The following is a 19,563-nucleotide window of genomic DNA, read 5'->3' as shown; positions in this document are numbered from 1 at the left end:
TTGAAACTCATCAAGCTCTACATGTGGGATGTGTATTTTTCTGATATAATACATATCAGAAAGTTAAAACTAAAATCAAGGGTACTGGTTTGCTTACTAAGTTACCTCAATGACTTAAAATGTTCGTTGGCTGTTAGGTTGCGACATAAATATTTGTTCCTCCCCACCCCACCCTATATTCCTAATACAAAGCTCCCTAAGGCCTTCATAATTTCCCAAGTGATAGGATGAGAAGAGTATCTTTTGTTATAATATTTGGTCTTACTCCCTAGTTCCCTTCCAAAGAGCTTCCAAGACCCTTGAAAGCTCTATAGCTAGCTTGTCCAACCCATGGCCCAAGGGCTAAATGCAGCCAAGGACAGCTTTGAATGCGGCCCAAAACAAACTGATAAACTTTCTTAAAACATAGATTGGTTTTGCAATTTTTGTAGCTCATCAACTATCGTTAGTGTATTTTATGTGTGGCCCAAGACAATTCTTCTTCCAATGTGGTCGAGGGAAGCCAAAAGATTGAACACTCCTGCATTTTATTTTCAGGAAGTCTTTGCTGCTGACTTGGGTAAAAGCATCACTTTGCATGCCCCTCACTTCATTTTCTTAGAGGAAAGAAAGGCAGCCAGCCCTTGGGCCATGGGTTGGACAAGCTAGCTATAGAGCTTTCAAGGGTCTTGGAAGCTCTTTGGAAGGGAACTAGGGAGTAAGACCAAATATTATAACAAAAGACACTCTTCTCATCCTATCACTTGGGAAATTATGAAGGCCTTAGGGAGCTTTGTATTAGGAATATAGGGTGGGGTGGGGAGAAATGTCTTTTTGTATGCTATTGACTGGTGGCTGAGGTCCCTAAATAGCTTCGGGATGGGACTGGCTACCACAAAGACCACTGTATGACTAGAGGATTGGAACTTTCAGTCCCACCCCTAAAATCTCTGGGGAGGGAAGAAAGGGTGGACATTGATTTAATCGATCGTCCCTACATAATGAGGCCTCCATGAAGTCCCACATGACAGGGTTCAGGGAACTTCCAGGTTGCTGAACACAACCATGCGCCAAGAAGGTGGCATACCCCAACTCCACAAGGACAGAGGCTCCTGTGTTTAGGACCCTTCTGGACCTCATCAAATGTACTTCTTCACCTGAACATTTGTATCCTTGGTAATATCCTTTCCAACAAACCAGCAAATATAAGTAAATGTTTCTGAGTTTTGTGAGCCATTGTAGAAAATTATCAAATTGAAGAGGGGGTTGTAGGAACCCCTCAATATACAGCCAATTGGTCAGAAGTACAGGTAACAACATGGGACTTGTGACTGGTGTCTGAAGTGGGGGCAGTTTTGTGGGACTGAGCCCTAAACTTGTAGGGTATGCAATAACTCCCGGTAGTGTCAGAATTGAATTGTAGGACATCCAGTTATTACCTGGAGAGTTGGATAATTCATTGGTGTGAGGGGAAAAAAACACCCACATTTGGTGTCACAAGTATTTTGAGAAACAGAATTTTTGACACTGACCCTCTTCATTTTAGAACATGAGATTTAAAAGGCAGCAGTGGGGGGCGGGGGGGCTCCCAAGTCTCCCTCACCTGGCTGTGTTTAATACGTTTGCAAAGCCAGTCCAGTATCTGATTGAACACAACTTCACTTCATTTCACCACCTGGGCCACCTATTTATCAACCTGCAAATTCAGCCCAATAGTCCAATTTGTTACCAGCCTGTCATCTGGCTGCCTTTCTTTCCTCTAAGAAAATGAAGTGAGGGGCATGCAAAGTGATGCTTTTACCCAAGTCAGCAGCAAAGACTTCCTGAAAATAAAATGCAAATATCCAAAAGGCCTATGCAGACCTGACTCTTCCAAACAGCAAAACAGTATTTCAATGTCAAGGAGAAGATGAGACAAACATTTTCCCACACGCATCAACTTCAGCAAATCAGCATTCTATGCCCAGTGAAGCTCGGCATTCAAGCTGGCTCACTTACGCCATCACTCAGGAGACAAGCAAGTCTCAAGGTCTTACTGATATCTTCCCTCTCTCTGGAAGATAATAGTTGGATACACTGGAACTGAATAATAGAGGATTATCTCTGGAGAAGTGCAAGAATACAATGAAGAAGAGGGAAACAGACTGAAAGTATGGGGAAATCCAACCTCTTCCCACCATTTTCCATGGAAAACTCGATTCTTGATTTTTCAGGAAGTTGGAGCTGTCCCAAATTTCCAGAGAGCTCTGATTTAACATTTTCCCAAGGCTGGGCAAGAGGCAACCCAAAGATCAAGTTGATCATTTTACGGGGTTTTATGTTGTTATGTTAAAAATAAGCCAGTTCTTATCTCTCAGACCACAGTGCAATCAAACTAGAACTCAGGATTAAGAATCTCACTCAAAGCCGCTCAACTACATGGAAACTGAACAACCTGCTCCTGAATGACTACTGGGTACATAACGAAATGAAGGCAGAAATAAAGATGTTCTTTGAAACCAACGAGAACAAAGACACCACATACCAGAATCTCTGGGACGCATTCAAAGCAGTGTGTAGAGGGAAATTTATAGCACTAAATGCCTACAAGAGAAAGCAGGAAAGATCCAAAATTGACACCCTAACATCACAATTAAAAGAACTAGAAAAGCAAGAGCAAACACATTCAAAAGCTAGCAGAAGGCAAGAAATAACTAAAATCAGAGCAGAACTGAAGGAAATAGAGACACAAAAAACCCTTCAAAAAATCAATGAATCCAGGAGCTGGTTTTTTGAAAGGATCAACAAAATTGATAGACCGCTAGCAAGACTAATAAAGAAAAAAAGAGAGAAGAATCAAATAGACACAATAAAAAATGATAAAGGGGATATCACCACCGATCCCACAGAAATACAAACTACCATCAGAGAATACTACAAACACCTCTACGCAAATAAACTAGAAAATCTAGAAGAAATGGATACATTCCTCGACACATACACTCTCCCAAGACTAAACCAGGAAGAAGTTGAATCTCTGAATAGACCAATAACAGGCTCTGAAATTGTGGCAATAATCAATAGTTTACCAACCAAAAAGAGTCCAGGACCAGATGGATTCACAGCCGAATTCTACCAGAGGTACAAGGAGGAACTGGTACCATTCCTTCTGAAACTATTCCAATCAATAGAAAAAGAGGGAATCCTCCCTAACTCATTTTATGAGGCCAGCATCATTCTGATACCAAAGCCGGGCAGAGACACAACCAAAAAAGAGAATTTTAGACCAATATCCTTGATGAACATTGATGCAAAAATCCTCAATAAAATACTGGCAAACCGAATCCAGCAGCACATCAAAAAGCTTATCCACCATGATCAAGTGGGCTTCATCCCTGGGATGCAAGGCTGGTTCAATATACGCAAATCAATAAATGTAATCCAGCATATAAACAGAGCCAAAGACAAAAACCACATGATTATCTCAATAGATGCAGAAAAAGCCTTTGACAAAATTCAACAACCCTTCATGCTAAAAACTCTCATTAAATTAGGTATTGATGGGACGTATTTCAAAATAATAAGAGCTATCTATGACAAACCCACAGCCAATATCATACTGAATGGGCAAAAACTGGAAGCATTCCCTTTGAAAACTGGTACAAGACAGGGATGCCCTCTCTCACCGCTCCTATTCAACATAGTGTTGGAAGTTCTGGCCAGGGCAATCAGGCAGGAGAAGGAAATAAAGGGTATTCAATTAGGAAAAGAGGAAGTCAAATTGTCCCTGTTTGCAGACGACATGATTGTTTATCTAGAAAACCCCATCGTCTCAGCCCAAAATCTCCTTAAGCTGATAAGCAACTTCAGCAAAGTCTCAGGATACAAAATCAATGTACAAAAATCACAAGCATTCTTATACACCAACAACAGACAAACAGAGAGCCAAATCATGAGTGAACTCCCATTCACAATTGCTTCAAAGAGAATAAAATACCTAGGAATCCAACTTACAAGGGATGTGAAGGACCTCTTCAAGGAGAACTACAAACCACTGCTCAAGGAAATAAAAGAGGACACAAACAAATGGAAGAACATTCCATGCTCATGGGTAGGAAGAATCAATATCGTGAAAATGGCCATACTGCCCAAGGTAATTTACAGATTCAATGCCATCCCCATCAAGCTACCAATGACTTTCTTCACAGAATTGGAAAAAACTACTTTAAAGTTCATATGGAACCAAAAAAGAGCCCGCATCGCCAAGTCAATCCTAAGCCAAAAGAACAAAGCTGGAGGCATCACACTACCTGACTTCAAACTATACTACAAGGCTACAGTAACCAAAACAGCATGGTACTGGTACCAAAACAGAGATATAGATCAATGGAACAGAACAGAGCCCTCAGAAATAATGCCGCATATCCACAACTATCTGATCTTTGACAAACCTGAGAAAAACAAGCAATGGGGAAAGGATTCCCTATTTAATAAATGGTGCTGGGAAAACTGGCTAGCCATATGTAGAAAGCTGAAACTGGATCCCTTCCTTACACCTTATACAAAAATCAATTCAAGATGGATTAAAGATTTAAACGTTAGACCTAAAACCATAAAAACCCTAGAAGAAAACCTAGGCATTACCATTCAGGACATAGGCGTGGGCAAGGACTTCATGTCCAAAACACCAAAAGCAATGGCAACAAAAGCCAAAATTGACAAATGGGATCTAATTAAACTAAAGAGCTTCTGCACCGCAAAAGAAACTACCATCAGAGTGAACAGGCAACCTACAACATGGGAGAAAATTTTCGCAACCTACTCATCTGACAAAGGGCTAATATCCAGAATCTACAATGAACTCAAACAAATTTACAAGAAAAAAACAAACAACCCCATCAAAAAGTGGGCGAAGGACATGAACAGACACTTCTCAAAAGAAGACATTTATGCAGCCAAAAAACACATGAAAAAATGCTCATCATCACTGGCCATCAGAGAAATGCAAATCAAAACCACTATGAGATATCATCTCACACCAGTTAGAATGGCAATCATTAAAAAGTCAGGAAACAACAGGTGCTGGAGAGGATGTGGAGAAATAGGAACACTTTTACACTGTTGGTGGGACTGTAAACTAGTTCAACCATTGTGGAAGTCAGTGTGGCGATTCCTCAGGGATCTAGAACTAGAAATACCATTTGACCCAGCCATCCCATTACTGGGTATATACCCAAATGACTATAAATCATGCTGCTATAAAGACACATGCACACGTATGTTTATTGCGGCATTATTCACAATAGCAAAGACTTGGAACCAACCCAAATGTCCAACAATGATAGACTGGATTAAGAAAATGTGGCACATATACACCATGGAATACTATGCAGCCATAAAAAATGATGAGTTCATGTCCTTTGTAGGGACATGGATGAAATTGGAAACCATCATTCTCAGTAAACTATCGCAAGAACAAAAAACCAAACACCACATATTCTCACTCATAGGTGGGAATTGAACAATGAGATCACATGGACACAGGAAGGGGAATATCACACTCTGGGGACTGTGGTGGGGTCGGGGGAGTGGGGAGGGATAGCATTGGGAGATATACCTAATGCTAGATGACACGTTAGTGGGTGCAGCGCACCAGCATGGCACATGTATACATATGTAACTAACCTGCACAATGTGCACATGTACCCTAAAACTTAGAGTATAATAATAATAATAATTAAAAAATAAAAAAAAAAATAAAAAAAAAAAAAAAAATAAAAAAAAAATAAGCCAGTTCTATATACAATCCCTCTGCCCATCCACCTCCTCATCCCCGGTAAATACACAAAAACAAAAGAGGAAGACAAGTGACTGCAAGTGACACAGGGGAAGTGAGGTCTGGGTCTTCCCATGCACAAGGCCTCCTTCATGCTGATGTAACAGAACACCAGGAAACCCTGCTCCCAGAACACTGGGGAAAAACAGACACTGACCACAACACTGGGGCATCTCCTTATTGATTCTCTCGGTTATTTATTTTCCCCAGAGGCTGGGAGTAAGATAATGCTTTCCTAAAACAAAGAATATGGTATAAAAACAAAATTTTTTAGAAGTCCAGCCAAGAAAGGCCACATAGGTGGGTAAGGTAATGTTTTATTAAATGTTTACATTCCCTAGATATTAAGTTTCAGAACTTGTCTAGGCTCTGTTCCCTTGGGCATTTCATACATAAGTAATACAAGTTCTTCCTTAGCTTTTATCCACAAATGGGATAAAGACCATGTTTCTGGTATACATATGCATCTATGTTATTTATATTATAACAACTATAGTAAATAAATGCATGTTTTTGCCTGCTGGGAATAAAGGCATATCCTATCCTCATTTCTCACATATTCTACTTAAAATGTTCCTAAGTAGCTTACCAGCTACTCTCTTATCTGCTGAAACTAACCAAATTCTGGCTGATGGTCAAAGACTATTTCCCTTGGGCACCAAGCTTCCTAAACAGTCAGGATGGTCTAATAAGGTTTTTTCTGAGTGTGGTACATTTACACCGTAGCATACATACTAATAGTTAAGTATTTGTTGCAACATGCATACGCACATCAAATTCATAAGCTGCTATATGCTGTCAATTAGAATGAGACCAAATTAAAATAAATGAGTTGATGCAGGATAAACTGAAGAAAATATGTTAAGTAACAAGTATAGGTGGTAACGTGAATATGGTGGAAACTAAGTCCAAAGTTTGGAAAATACTGGTCTGCTTAAAAAAAAAAAAAGTTCGGCCAAGAGTCTGAAAACTCTGATTCTATGTGCTGTCTTAATGTGTCCTTGGGGATCCTTCACTTATCATCCCTAGGCAGGCCTCACTACAATGATAGCAACAAAGCTGATAGGGTTAGGACAGTGTGACAAATGTGAAAACTTTTGGAAGTAGAACGCAAAGTCTTTTCACCTTCCAATCAGGTGTGACCACTGGCCAGCTGAGAAGCATGGACCTTTAAGTTATGACACACAAACCAACAAGGTATCAGAGTCAATGCTAATCCCTCTCCTTAAAACCTCCCTGAGTTGTGGAAAGTCATCTTGCCAAGCCTCTGGGCAAAGACCTCCTGAGGTTGGCTTGGTGGCAGGCAGGGGGCGGTAGATGGCAAGAGCACAAATGATACATATCACTGCAACCTGGTGTCTGATCTCAATAACACCTCTGCACAAGACCCCTGGTAAGGCAGGGCTTTCCAAGGTCAGGATTTGCCACTAAGCTCTTAAAATCTCTTCTGATCCTAGCAGAAGTAAACGATCAGTATCTCTGGTAAGCAACTGTATTTTTCTTTTTTTTTTTTTTAACCTTTCAGTGTCATTGTGAGGTTTGCCACATGCCTTGAGAAATAAAGCCCAATCTGAATGCTCAAACATGAAAGTCTGGCTGGCTCAGGCAATTGGAAGAAGATACCCATGCATGGTAACCGCTGAATGACAAGTTAGGTTTCCTGGAGAGAAAGACCTAACTATTCACCTTATATACTTAAATAATTGCCTCCTTTTTAAGGCAAAATAACAGCTCCTAAAGATGTCTCTGTCATAGCCCCAGAATCTGAGTATGTTACACCTTACATGGCAAAGGGCAATTAAGGATGCAGATGGAGTTAAGGTAGCTAATCAGCTGACCTTAAGATAATTATCAAGGTGGGTCTAATGCAATCACAGCGTCCTTAAATGCGGAAGAGGGAAGCAGAAGAATCACTATCTAAAAAGTGTCAAAGACTGGCTTGAAGACATAAGAAGCCATGAGTGAAGGAATGTGGACAGACTCTAGAAGCTGGAAGAGTCAAGAAAACAGATTCTAAGAGCCTCCTGAAAGGAACACAGTCCTGCTGACACTGGATTAGCCCAGTGAGACTCTGTATTGGTTCCCTATTGCTGCTATAACAAATTGTCATTAATAATTACCTATACTTAGTGGCTTAAAACAACAGAAAACTCTTCTCTCACAGTTCCAGACTCCAGATGTCTGAAATTGGTATCACTGGGTAGAAGCGAAGGGGTAGGCAGGACAGGGCCGTGCTCCCTCCAGAGGCTCTAGGGACAGTCGGTTCCTTGCCTCTTCCAGCTTCTGGTGGCTGCATGTATTTTTTGGCTTGTGGCCACAGCATGCTAATTCCTACTTCTGTGGTCACACTGCCTTCTCTTCTGAGTAATCCTCCTCTGCATCTCTGTGAGGAGAACATTTGAGGTGGCATTTAGGGCCCATCTTGACAATCCACGATAATTGCCCTATCTCAAGGTGCTTAATCACATCTGCAAAGACCCTTATTCCACATAAGGCTACATCCACGTTTCAGGAGTTACAGCCTAACACCTGGAGGGTGTTAGCCTACTACAGAGCCGTTTCAGATTTCTTACCTCCAGAACCATAAAATAAACATGTTCTTTTAAGCCACTAAGTGTAATAATTTGTTACAGCAGCAATAGGCAATTAATACAGCTCCTGTCTCTCAAATGTGTGCTACAGATCAGGACAAGGTCTGGGCATGAGGACAGAGCTAGCTCACCCCTACTATTCACATCAGCATCCTGGCGATCCTTTGTATCCAGAGATGTTGCTCCTTCTCCCATTAGCATACTTGACAGGATAGAATGCTAAGACTCAGCAGGAAGTGGCCATTAGAAGCTTCAGAAATCACTTCTCTTTCCTCTCGCTGATCACAGGTTTCTTAAGTAAACTGTATAGTAATTCAAAGCAAAGCTTAGGGGAAAAAAGGAACTGACATTCATTTCAGAAAATTCCTCTCAATAATGAGTACACTCCATCCACAAATGTCAAAGAGCTTTGCTCACAAAGCCAATAATCCCTATCACAAATATAAGGCAATGTAAACATTTAAGAACCATATTCCTCAATTAGGAACAGCCTTTTTGGGTAGCTTTCCTAGCATTCCAGTGGCAGAACATACACTTTTAAGCAGTTATTAATCACTATTCTATCTCTTGGCATGCTGTAATGCTGGTTTTCTAACATCTCTGCAGGGATTTCTATTTATAGAACTGCTCCTTCTCATTGATCTGCCTTCAGGACACTGAAGCAATTCCCCAGCTGACTTCTCTCCCAGAACTCACCTTGTTGGGACACCCCTGGGCTCTGTCCTCAAATCTCTTCTCTATCCATATTCTCTCCCTCAGCAAGTGTACCCTGTCCCACGACTGCAAATGCCAACTGTAAGTGGAGGCTCTCAAATTCATGTATCTATCCTTGACCCCTCAACTGAACAAGGTCCAGATCCAAACATCCATGTGCCACTCATGAGCTCCACTTCAGTGTTTAGTATGTATCCCCAGCTTAGCAGGCCCGAAAGAGAGCCGCTGCTTTCTGACAGACGCACAAAGCAGCTCAGCAAACAGCATCTCCCACTCCGGCTGCTCCAGCAAGACCCTTAAGCCCTCATGTGTACGTTCTCTTCACTCCTTCCCACCCCTCATATTTAATCCATCAGTATCTACCAGCTCTGCCTCCAAAATGTACCCCAAATCTATTTTCACTATCTCCACTATTTCAATCTCATTCCAAGCTACCCTCACCTCCCACCCACATTATAGCAATAGGCTCCTAGCTCGTCTTCCTGCCTGCTCTAGCCCCACCCTCCGCAGGGCTAAAAGCCATCTTTCTGAAGTGTAAATGTCAGAGGATGTCACTCACAGGTATAAAATTATCAGGGGCTTCTGGCTACAAGCAAACTCCAAACTGGACCATTACCTACATGGTCTGGCCACTGCCTACCCCTTGACCTCTCTCCTACTCTCTTTCTTACTCACATGCCATGCACACAACTCTGGCCTTCTGTCCTCTCCTGAACATGCCGAAGCTTGTTCCTGACCCATGGCCGTTGCACTTGCTGCTCCTTCTGCTGTAAACACTCTTCCTGCAGGTCTATGTATTATCATCCTTTCCTTCCCTGAAGCCTCACCTGCAACTTTTCAGTTATCACCCTAGCCTACCAAAAGCAACCACTCACCACCCTTTTTTCCTGCCTGTCTTTGTCTTTTCAGAACACTTTGGAAGACCTGAAGCAGTCTTAATTGTTTGTCGATGGAGTGTGACTCCCCTCCAGCAAACTATATGCTCACTGAGGGCAGGGCTTTTCCCATAGTATCCCCAGAGAGATACCTGTTCACAAGCTGACTGAATGGTTTTACAATTGAAGAGCAATATCAAGTCCTCTTAAAAAGGTACAGTGTTAGTCAATCTCCTTGGTTTTAAGGAATAGTGATTTCCTGGGTTCCTACAGGAAAGAGACCAAAATCTCCTTCCTGGGGTACTGCCCTTCATTCTCACTCCCTCTCCCAGCATCTGTTTTTTCTTTTTATGTGCCCAATTCTCCCCTCTACCAACTGGCCAGCTCTCTTACCTTCCATGACATCTTGTTTCTGCTCCATCATAGTTCTGGCTAGCCAACGCCCTCACTTAACCCCAGGACATCACACCACTTGCTAACTACCAAGTTTTCTTTTGAGTCTCTCAAGTCAACTTGAGAGACTTGGCTAATTTCATTAGCCAAGGAAGAAAGGGGCACAGTACAGAACAGGGACTTAGGCAGAAATTAGAATTTCTCGTACTGAGATTAAGAAATCCAACAGCAGTAAGGCCCAGTGCATCTCCATTCATTCTCCTTTAATAGATGAATACGTGACTGCACCATCCTCCCAAAGGGTGGGAGAGCTGTCAAACCCTACAGATGGTGGGAATCACCAGGATGCATGAAATGAGCGCTAGCATGAATAAGAATGAAGATTAGGAGGGAAAAGAATCTCCATGTAAACAGCATGGTTAATTAAGAAAAATTACACAGTGATTAGACAGATCTGATCCTTTTATAAGTACCTGTACAAAGGGTCACTGTTAAATGGAATGCTTTCTCTTTGCCCATGTATGATAACTCCTAGCTTGTGCCAGGTAGTAAGTACTCAGAGGGAATTACTCCCATCAGATCAAATCCCCACAACATACCTGCAAAGTAGCTACCATCACATTTTTCAGGTGAAGAAATGAATGTCCAGAGAGGTGTGAGGCCAACTTAAACAAGTGCCTAAAGGCCCACCAAACTTTTAGGGGCCCATGAGAATTTTCTTTCTTTTAAAGTCAGAAGGAAAAAATGAATACAATTCATCCTGGACACAGTCATGAAAATATAATTTTTTATTTTAAATGGAGGAAGAGGTCTACTAAACCCAGTCTTGGGCCCCCAAGAGTCACAACGTGGCTCTGGTGGAGTGACTTGCTCAAGGTCACAAGCACCAAGGAGTTGTGTATGGAGACCCGATCAGCCCCGTCCTCTCTTCCATTCAGCCTCCGCACACCCTCATGCCCTAGAAAACCCTAGGGAGTGCTAGGATTTCAGAATGTCCCATCACCTGAGCTTTTGGGGAAAAAAAACATTTAATGTAAAAATCAATGGCACTAGAAATGTTCCTTACCAAGCCTCACCAAAAATCTGATTAGTCATCCTGTGACTGATCCTTAGCTTAAGTGAAAAACCACTTATCCTTGGACCCACTAACTGCACTGGGATAACCTGGGGTGCTCATTAAAAATGCAGATTCCAAAGCCCTACCTCACACTTGCTGAATCTCAAGGATGGGACTAAAATCTGCATTGTAAATGAGCACCCAGGGGTTTCTGACCTTCTGTGCACACTAAGACCCCACTGGTCAGGAAAACCTATGGGGATAACCTAATTTTTGCATAGTTTTAACACATTTAAAATTGTCCCAGAATACAACTACCATGTATAATGAGCTAAGAACATACTTTCTGTTCTGAACTTTACAAGTTATTAACCATAAAAAAAGTTATATTATTGATGATAGAGCCACTCCTGTAATATGAGTCACCAAATAAATCCTGTATTTGGAGATGTTGCATTTATAGGTGATTTTGCCAACAGGTACAAAGATCTGGCTATTTCATTTTGTCTTAGGACAGGTGGGCCCACGCATTTACATGATGAAATGCCTGTTTGACTCCGCATGACTTTCCTTTTTTTTTCCTTTTACATTACAGTTAGGAAATTGCATTGATTTTTTGGGGGAGAATTGTGTTTGTTGTTGGGTTACATTATCTGTGACTTGCATTCTGCACGGTAAAGATAGCATTAGAAAATAGTGGTTAAAAGGAGACAATTGGCCGTATAGGATTAAAGAATGTCTTTAAAAAGATCCTGGCTAAAACATGCTCTGAAGACACTGCTTATCTCACAAGTCCCTAAGGACATTCCTACCCCACCCATCCCCACAAAGTGAGCTGGGCTGTAGAGGCTGGCAGCCAGAGGCTGATGCCTGGGGCAACACTTCTGAATGCTAAACCCTGGGCCAGTGCCTCAGTCTGTTCAGCCTAGTAAAACGAAACACTTTAGACTGCGCAATTTGTGAACAACAGAAATTTACTGCTCATAGCTCTGGAGGCTGGAACATCCAAGATCAAGGCGCCAACAAATTTGGCATCTGGTAAGGGCCTACTGTCTGCTTCATAGATGCCATTTCTAGCTGTGTACTCAAATGGCAGAAGGAGCAAACAAAATCCCTGCAGCTTCTTTTATAAGGGCATGAACCCCATTCACAAGGGCTCCTCCCTCTGATTTAATCAGAGGCCTGAAAGGCCCCACACCTCTTAACACTATCAGGTTGGGGATTAGATTTCAACATATGAATTTTGGAGGGACACAAACATTCAGACCATAGCAGTCGGCAAAAGACAGAGAAGCTGAACAAGAAAATGAAGTTTTGAATAGTGGCTGCTGGGTCAGGTGGCAGAGGATGGAAGAAGAGAGGATGTCATAGATAGATATGAGTTACTGATAAGTCCAAGTTCTTGGGGTGGGTGGTTTCAAGGGTATTCAATAATAATATAATGAAAATAGTTGCATCTCTTCATTAGTATCAACCAGCCAATTATCAGAGAAGGGAAAATAATTTAGTGACCATACCAAACCCTGGCATCTTTGTAGCAAACTACATATTAGCATGGAGCCTTTCAAGCCAGAGTGCTAATCAGCAGCTTTTGGAGGGATAGTCACTCCTCTCAATTAAAAAAAAAAAAAAAAAAAAAAAAAAAGCAGCGCTTGGCCCAGAGAGCTGGCCTTCTGAGCAGCATGTCAGAGCTGATAAAGATGCTGGCGCCTGGCGGCCACCAAGGCCACCCTGGACAACCATTCTGCCTTCTCATTAGCATTGTGCCACTGTTACCTCACTTGACAATAACAACTGCCGTGGAGGATCTGACAAGCACAGGTCGCCCCGAAGGTGAAAGGAGAAAAGGATCTGAAGACAAATCATAAAAATTGTTTCACCCTGTCTGGAACCATCACAAGCTGACCCGGTGCTGTGGAAGATGCTGACTTCTTTTCTGAGACTGCTGAAGGGGAATCTAATTACTCACTCCCCACACCCCCATTATCCCATCTTCCCTCCCATCTACTGGTTCCCTAATGTCAAACAGTATGAAAAGAAAAAGGCTTTTTAAATAGAAAAGATACAGAAAAATAATTTATTATGGCCAAAGCATAAGAGGATTACAATATCCCAACCCCATACTCCAGTCCACCAGCTCAAAGAGAACAAAAGATAGTTCTTCCTGCTCCTACCAACCCCTGGACCTACTTTTGCCTTATTTAACACTCGACTATAGCTATTGGTTCACAGCCCAACCTGTCTCAACTAAACCAAAGCGGCCCTCCAGAGGGCAAAGACCACAGCCTCTCCAGATTATATTTTTAGGAAATAGCCCCCGAAGTAAGATCAAGCACAGAGGGCATCCTTAATAAAGGTATTTGAATGATTAAACACAAGACAAGCAGGGAGTAGTGGCACACACCTGTAGTCCCAGCTACTCAGGAGGCTGAGGCAGGAAGATGGCTTGAGCCCAGGAGTTCAAGGCTGCAGTGAGCTATGATCGTGTCACATAGCAATCAGGAGACAGAGCAAGACCAAGCAATCCTCCTGCCTCAGCCTTCTGAATAGCTGGGACTACAGGTGCATACCACAACACTGGGCTAATTTTTTTTATTTTTATTTTTGTAGAGACGGAGTGTCACCATGTTGCCCAGGGTGGTCTTGAATGCCTGTCCTCAAGTGATCCTTCCATCTTGGCCTCCCAAGACGCTAGGATCACAGACTTGAGCCACCATGCCCAGCAAATCCTGTTTATTTCGTTTACCAGAACATAGGCTCCACAGAAGCAGAGAACTCATCTGTTTTGCTCACTCCATACTTCGTGATTAAAACAGAGTTTAGGGCACACTAAGTGCTCAACTATTCCTTGAATGAGTGAATAAATGGAGAAAGGCTAATGCTAATAGAGGTTATATAGAAAGACACTCAGTCTACACCAAATAGGGTTTCTCTGATTACATTTAGGGAGTGAAGGACAAAGAGGCTCAACAGAGAAAAGAAGAAAAAGAGACTTGTAACACCATTAATTGGCAACAACTGCCATCAGCCAGGAAGAACAGCTGTGCTCCTGTGAAGGCAGCATCACTGCAGACATGAGAGAAATTTCCAGAAGAATCTACAAAGGAAGGAAGATGTCAGGGGACTTGCAGACATCCCTGTCTGAAGTATTCAGGCTAGAGACTATATTCCCTTGGCAGAAAATCTGTTTAAACCCCTCAAGCGTGACCACTATGGTGTCCTTACCAAGGTCAGTCAGTCAGATATTTCTGGAATACTTCCCAAAAGCTGTGACTTTCTCAGCCTTGGCGGGGCAGGGGGGGAATGGGGGGATTGGGGGGCGGGGTAGGGAGGCAGGGACACCAGCTAAAATAGTCCTCATTGCCAAATAAAAGACTTACTATCTGCACGTAATTAATTCCTCATTTCAACATGACATCCTTTACCTGAGACAGAGAAAAATTCTCAGGTGTTTACCAAAATTGTACCTCTAATCAATGATTTTAAGACTGTTTGTGGGTTTTATTTTTTCACTGGACCACTGAAGCTTCTTGCAGGCAAGAAGCATGTTCATTCTTGCCATTTGCACAACCTCCACATACAGAGCACCAATCAGTATCTGCTTCCCTCAAACTCCAACAGAACTCATGAGCAACAATGGATAGTAGCCATATGCAGGGGGAGCATTTCCCAAGCAAAACACTTTTCGGTAAGCTTCCCACAGTTGAAGGTTCAAATAATAAAGGAAACAAAGAAAAAGCAAATGATTCTAAACAACTAGGAGAATGAACCCACAAAATGAGTATTCAAGTCATCCAAAAGTCAGAGAAAAAAATCATGGAATACTGACAGAGAGCTGTTGGAGCAGCCGATAGAACAAGGCAAAGATCACTGTTTTCTAAGCAGGGATTTAATGCTCCATCCTCACAGAACAAATAGTGGAAGGAGGTTCAGGCCACTGTTTTTAGAAGAAAAAAAAAAAAGGAGCAGGCAAGCAAAATACAGTTGCAGCCAGCAGCCAGCCCTAAAATTTCAGCCTCCACCAGAGAACTGAGAGTCCACAGGTGACACAAAGAACAGCTTTCAGTCCACAGCTGGTCCCAAAGCTTGCACCCTCTGCCAGGACTCCCTCCGAGACTTCAGCTCCATCCCGGGAGGCTGTCTTCTGGGATATATGTACATGCTTCTGAGTCACATCACGGAACAGGAAAACACACTGCCCTCTTATCAGAGGAGTAGGAGAGGCAAAGATGTGCAATTAAGAAAGGAAGGGAAGACAGTTACTCCAAGAATTTAGTCAAATTATATACATGAGATTTCCCCAAGAAATAGCAGCTTAACATACCAAGTCCAGAATGGAGTTTAATGTTTACTTTCAAATCTATCATCAACTCTGGAAAATATGGAAGCATTTAGTTTTTCTGAAATGGAAATGCAGCATTTCCTGGTGGGCTAATTTTTACCTTCTGTTAACCAAAATGTTTTAAGACAATGTGCCACAAGAATACATTTCAAGGGAGCTATGTAACAACACACAAATACCATTCATTCAAAAAATAAACTTTGGCCTCTTTTATACTTGCTGAGTGTCAGAAACAACTAAATACCTAATATTTACAAGTTAAGCTGTAATATAAACCCCTCAAAGGAAGGGAAACATGATGCAGTTACCAAAAGTTATAAGTAGTAAGATGAAGAATGCAAAGCAGTGGTTCCCAAAGTGGGCCCATGATCAGACCTGAGAAGGTGTTTGCTTAAAAGTCCACTCCTGGGCACCTCCCTGAGAACGTGCACTACTTGATCCACTACAATATATCATAGGAACCCATTAGTCTTCTCCAGGTAGTTTTGACCACTAGGCAGGTTTGGGGGCAGCTGCCATAAGGAACATGGACAGAGTAGGTTGACTATGCTCCCCTACACCAACGGAATTCCAGCTTGACAAGCTGCTTTGTAGCACAATGCCCAAAAGATCTTAACTCAGCCACCTTGGATGGAGACCAGATGGGCCAAAACAGCCAAGCCTCACACACCCAGCTAGACTCAAGGGTAAAAGGCATCTCCCAGCCAACTTCCTGCTCCTTGCTTGGTAATTCTGAAGCTGCTTGCTAGTCTGAAGAACACTGGATCAGAATGCTGGTGATCTTCAGAGCTACACAGAGCTTGACAGCAAGGAAAGTGCACCTTCCACAGTGCACATGGGTTGCCTATGATGGCAAAGTTCAGGGAGGGCAACTGAGGGCTGGTGAACAGGCTCACTGAGCTAGCAGAGGCAGACACAGCTTATAAAATCAGTTTCATTTTTCAATATGAAGAACCAGAAGAAGAAGGACTATTGCTACCCTTCTTGGCTATACAGGCTTAAAAATTCATTTCTAGTTACCAGTAGCTTCTGGTACAGATGACAAGGCCCAAATGGGATATACTGGATCCTTATTGCTCCCCCAAAGCTATTCTCCCTTTCTTCCATAGGAGCAGGAATTTTGCAGAGTATCTCACTACAGAGTATAATTATCTCTTGCAGCTGAGTGGCAGAGTGATTATATTTTGCCAAGTGGAACAGGAGTAGAAAAAAATCTACCCAACCTCTGGGTTATCATTCCTCCTTGCCCTTCCTCCTACCCTTTTTTTCTCCTTTATTTCAGGGCATACAAAGGAGAGCAACACTGGGGGTGGCAGGGCAACCAGAAGGAAGGAGCCCAGCCCCCTATAACTTTAGCAGGCAGAAATGCCATTCTAGCTGACTTTAAAGTAAAAGGAAACTAAACTGTCTTGTTTAAATCAGTATTGTTTGAGGTTTCTGTTACAGCAGCTGAACATGTTCCTTAATACAAAGATTTTCCGTCCTACATGGAACATGACTAAGAACTACTGATCAAGAAGCAAATCCTTCATACTTTCCTTTTCCTCCTTAGCCTAACAAGATGGCCGACATCATCGTCTTTGACTCCAAAGGATAGCAAGTTATACCAGGAGGTTCAAGAAATCTCTCTTTAATCTCAAATCCCAATTTTTAAGTGCTAGATCCACCTGAAAATACAAGCTTTGCTTTTCCAGTCACTCAATGTCTCAACCGACCTTTTGAATTGAATTTTCTACCAGACTCTCTCATATAAATTACTCAATTTCTGGAACAGGTCTAGCATCACCTCGTAATGCTAATGCTGTTTCTCCTGCCTAGAAGGCCCTTCCTGAGCTAGAAAATTCCACAACATCACGGTCAAGTTCAAACGTAAAAATGTTCCAACTCCTAAGGGCTTGGAAGACTTTGAAATATTGACTGAAGTATATTGGGGCATACATACCTGCCAACCCACCAATCTGCAGAGTTCCTAAAGGCAGAAGCAGTTTTTCATCTTTGTATCCCTGACCACCCCCCATACCATCCACCACATACATCCCAGTACCTGGCACAGTAAAAACTCAATAAATATTTGATGAACTAATTAAGAAATCATTGAACTGTGTTAAGGTTGTCCTTAAGAGTATTTTTTAAAGTAGTTGAAAATTCAAAGGCAGAGGCCACAACTTTAGGAAATCCCCTTGTAAATCAAACACACATATTCCTGTTAAACTAGTACAACTTAGCCTATTAAAATATGAGATAGGAGACATAGCCTTTAAACTAGGGGCAGCCAATGTTTTGGCTTCACCAAAGGGCCGCACTAGAAGAACTGTCTTGGGCCACACATAAAATACACTAACAGTAAGGAAACCTGATGAGCTAAAAAAAAATTCCATTTTTTAAGAAACTTTACAAATTTGTGTTGGGCCGCATTCAAAGCCGTCCTGGGCCACAGGTGGCCCGCAGTCTGGACAAGCTTGCTCTAAACTATAAAAGCGGAGCTAAAGATCCATGTCACTTACAAGCATCGACTATCATTAGGAGTTGAACCTTATGGGAAAACAATTTTGCACTTAACAGCAACCATTTGCTAGCTCATTAACAAATCTGGGCTGTCATATTTTTAAATGATCACTTTGCTTTGAAAATGAATCCTACATTAAATAGAAAACAAAACACGTATTTTAAAGAGTGTTTTAAAAAGCTCCCTTGGATCCATAGTTTTTTTTTTTTTTAAGCCTTAAGATCTGAAAGAAAAGGCCATATACCACACATTCAGACCCTCCATACTGGTACTTGAGTACCAGAAGCAACGGCCTAAAATCGTTTCAAAGAAAGGGGAAAAATATACTTTCAAACACCAACAATAGGTAAATTCCCAAGCACAGGCATATCCAAACCAATTAATTCTATGCTCCACAAAAATTTCCACTTCTGCTAACTTGTTTACAGCTTGGCATAGAGACTAAATGTCTAACTAATGGTTAAGAAACAACAGAGGCAATGAGCAAATTCAACTTCCGAAGAGCACCATGTCCAGAGTGCTACAGAGGAGCCTCCAGGGAACTACACCTTGAATAATATGTTGGGGAAAAAGTTGCTTTTAGTTTCATGAGGATCATCCTGACTTTTTACCCTGGAATTTTTGGAATGGGGTTTTCTAGACCATTTGTTCTAGACACTCAGATATATTAAGTGACTTGCTGGAGATCACAAGCCAGTTATAGGCACTGCAAAGCCTAGACCCCTCTGGTCTTCCAGTACATTCTCCAGCACAGCACACAGAATAAAGTCCATTTCTTAATACAATTGTCACAAATAAAATCCACTACGGAAAATAAGATTACCCAGCCATTAAGAAGTTTTTCCAAGTTCTTCCTAAAACACAGGCTCACGCACACCAGACATCAAACACAGAAAAGATTATAGACGTTAAAAAGGCGCTAGGTGAACTTTACAATGAGATTCACTTAATGCAGTAGGTACTAGGAATTAAAAAATGAGTAAGGCCAAAGGACACTCATCCACAAGTAGCCTAGTGAAGCAAACGGAAACCTACGTACATAAATTATGAAACCACCTGCTGCAGCCGATATGGGAGATAAAAACAGGGTATTATGGGATATTTCAGACTCCAGAATTTAAAGCTTTAGATCTTTCTTATCATTTCTAGGATAATTCTAGGAAAGTATACTCCAACTTAAGCAGATAAAAACATAAGAATTGTTCAACAGAATGCCTAGACTAAAACTGAAAGGCGATTTCAGAACTTTTGAGAAGATAAATCCTTGTCTAGAAACAGAAAATTCACACTT

General features: G+C 41.8%; 1 protein-coding gene across 17 annotated transcripts in view, besides 2 other annotated features; it reads right to left on the bottom strand.

The window, feature by feature from the left end:
- Nucleotides 1–19,563, bottom strand: part of MGAT5 (alpha-1,6-mannosylglycoprotein 6-beta-N-acetylglucosaminyltransferase) — a 334,687-nt gene that overhangs the window by 239,736 nt on the left and 75,388 nt on the right. The window lies entirely within an intron of this gene.
- Nucleotides 7,974–8,268: a silencer, noted in NCBI's record as "tiled region #5769; HepG2 Repressive non-DNase unmatched - State 15:Elon". NCBI's record gives its function as "represses a minimal TATA promoter and a strong SV40 promoter by Sharpr-MPRA in HepG2 cells {active_cell/tissue: HepG2}" and the evidence as "EXISTENCE:reporter gene assay evidence [ECO:0000049][PMID:27701403]".
- Nucleotides 11,256–11,757: an enhancer, noted in NCBI's record as "NANOG hESC enhancer chr2:134960700-134961201 (GRCh37/hg19 assembly coordinates)". NCBI's record gives its function as "activates a minimal SCP1, AML or CMV promoter by ChIP-STARR-seq in primed H9 embryonic stem cells {active_cell/tissue: H9 hESC(primed)}" and the evidence as "EXISTENCE:reporter gene assay evidence [ECO:0000049][PMID:30033119]".

The sequence above is a fragment of the Homo sapiens genome, chromosome 2 (assembly GCF_000001405.40).
Source record: "Homo sapiens chromosome 2, GRCh38.p14 Primary Assembly".
NCBI lineage: Eukaryota > Metazoa > Chordata > Mammalia > Primates > Hominidae > Homo > Homo sapiens.
This window is presented reverse-complemented; position numbering and strand designations above follow the sequence as displayed.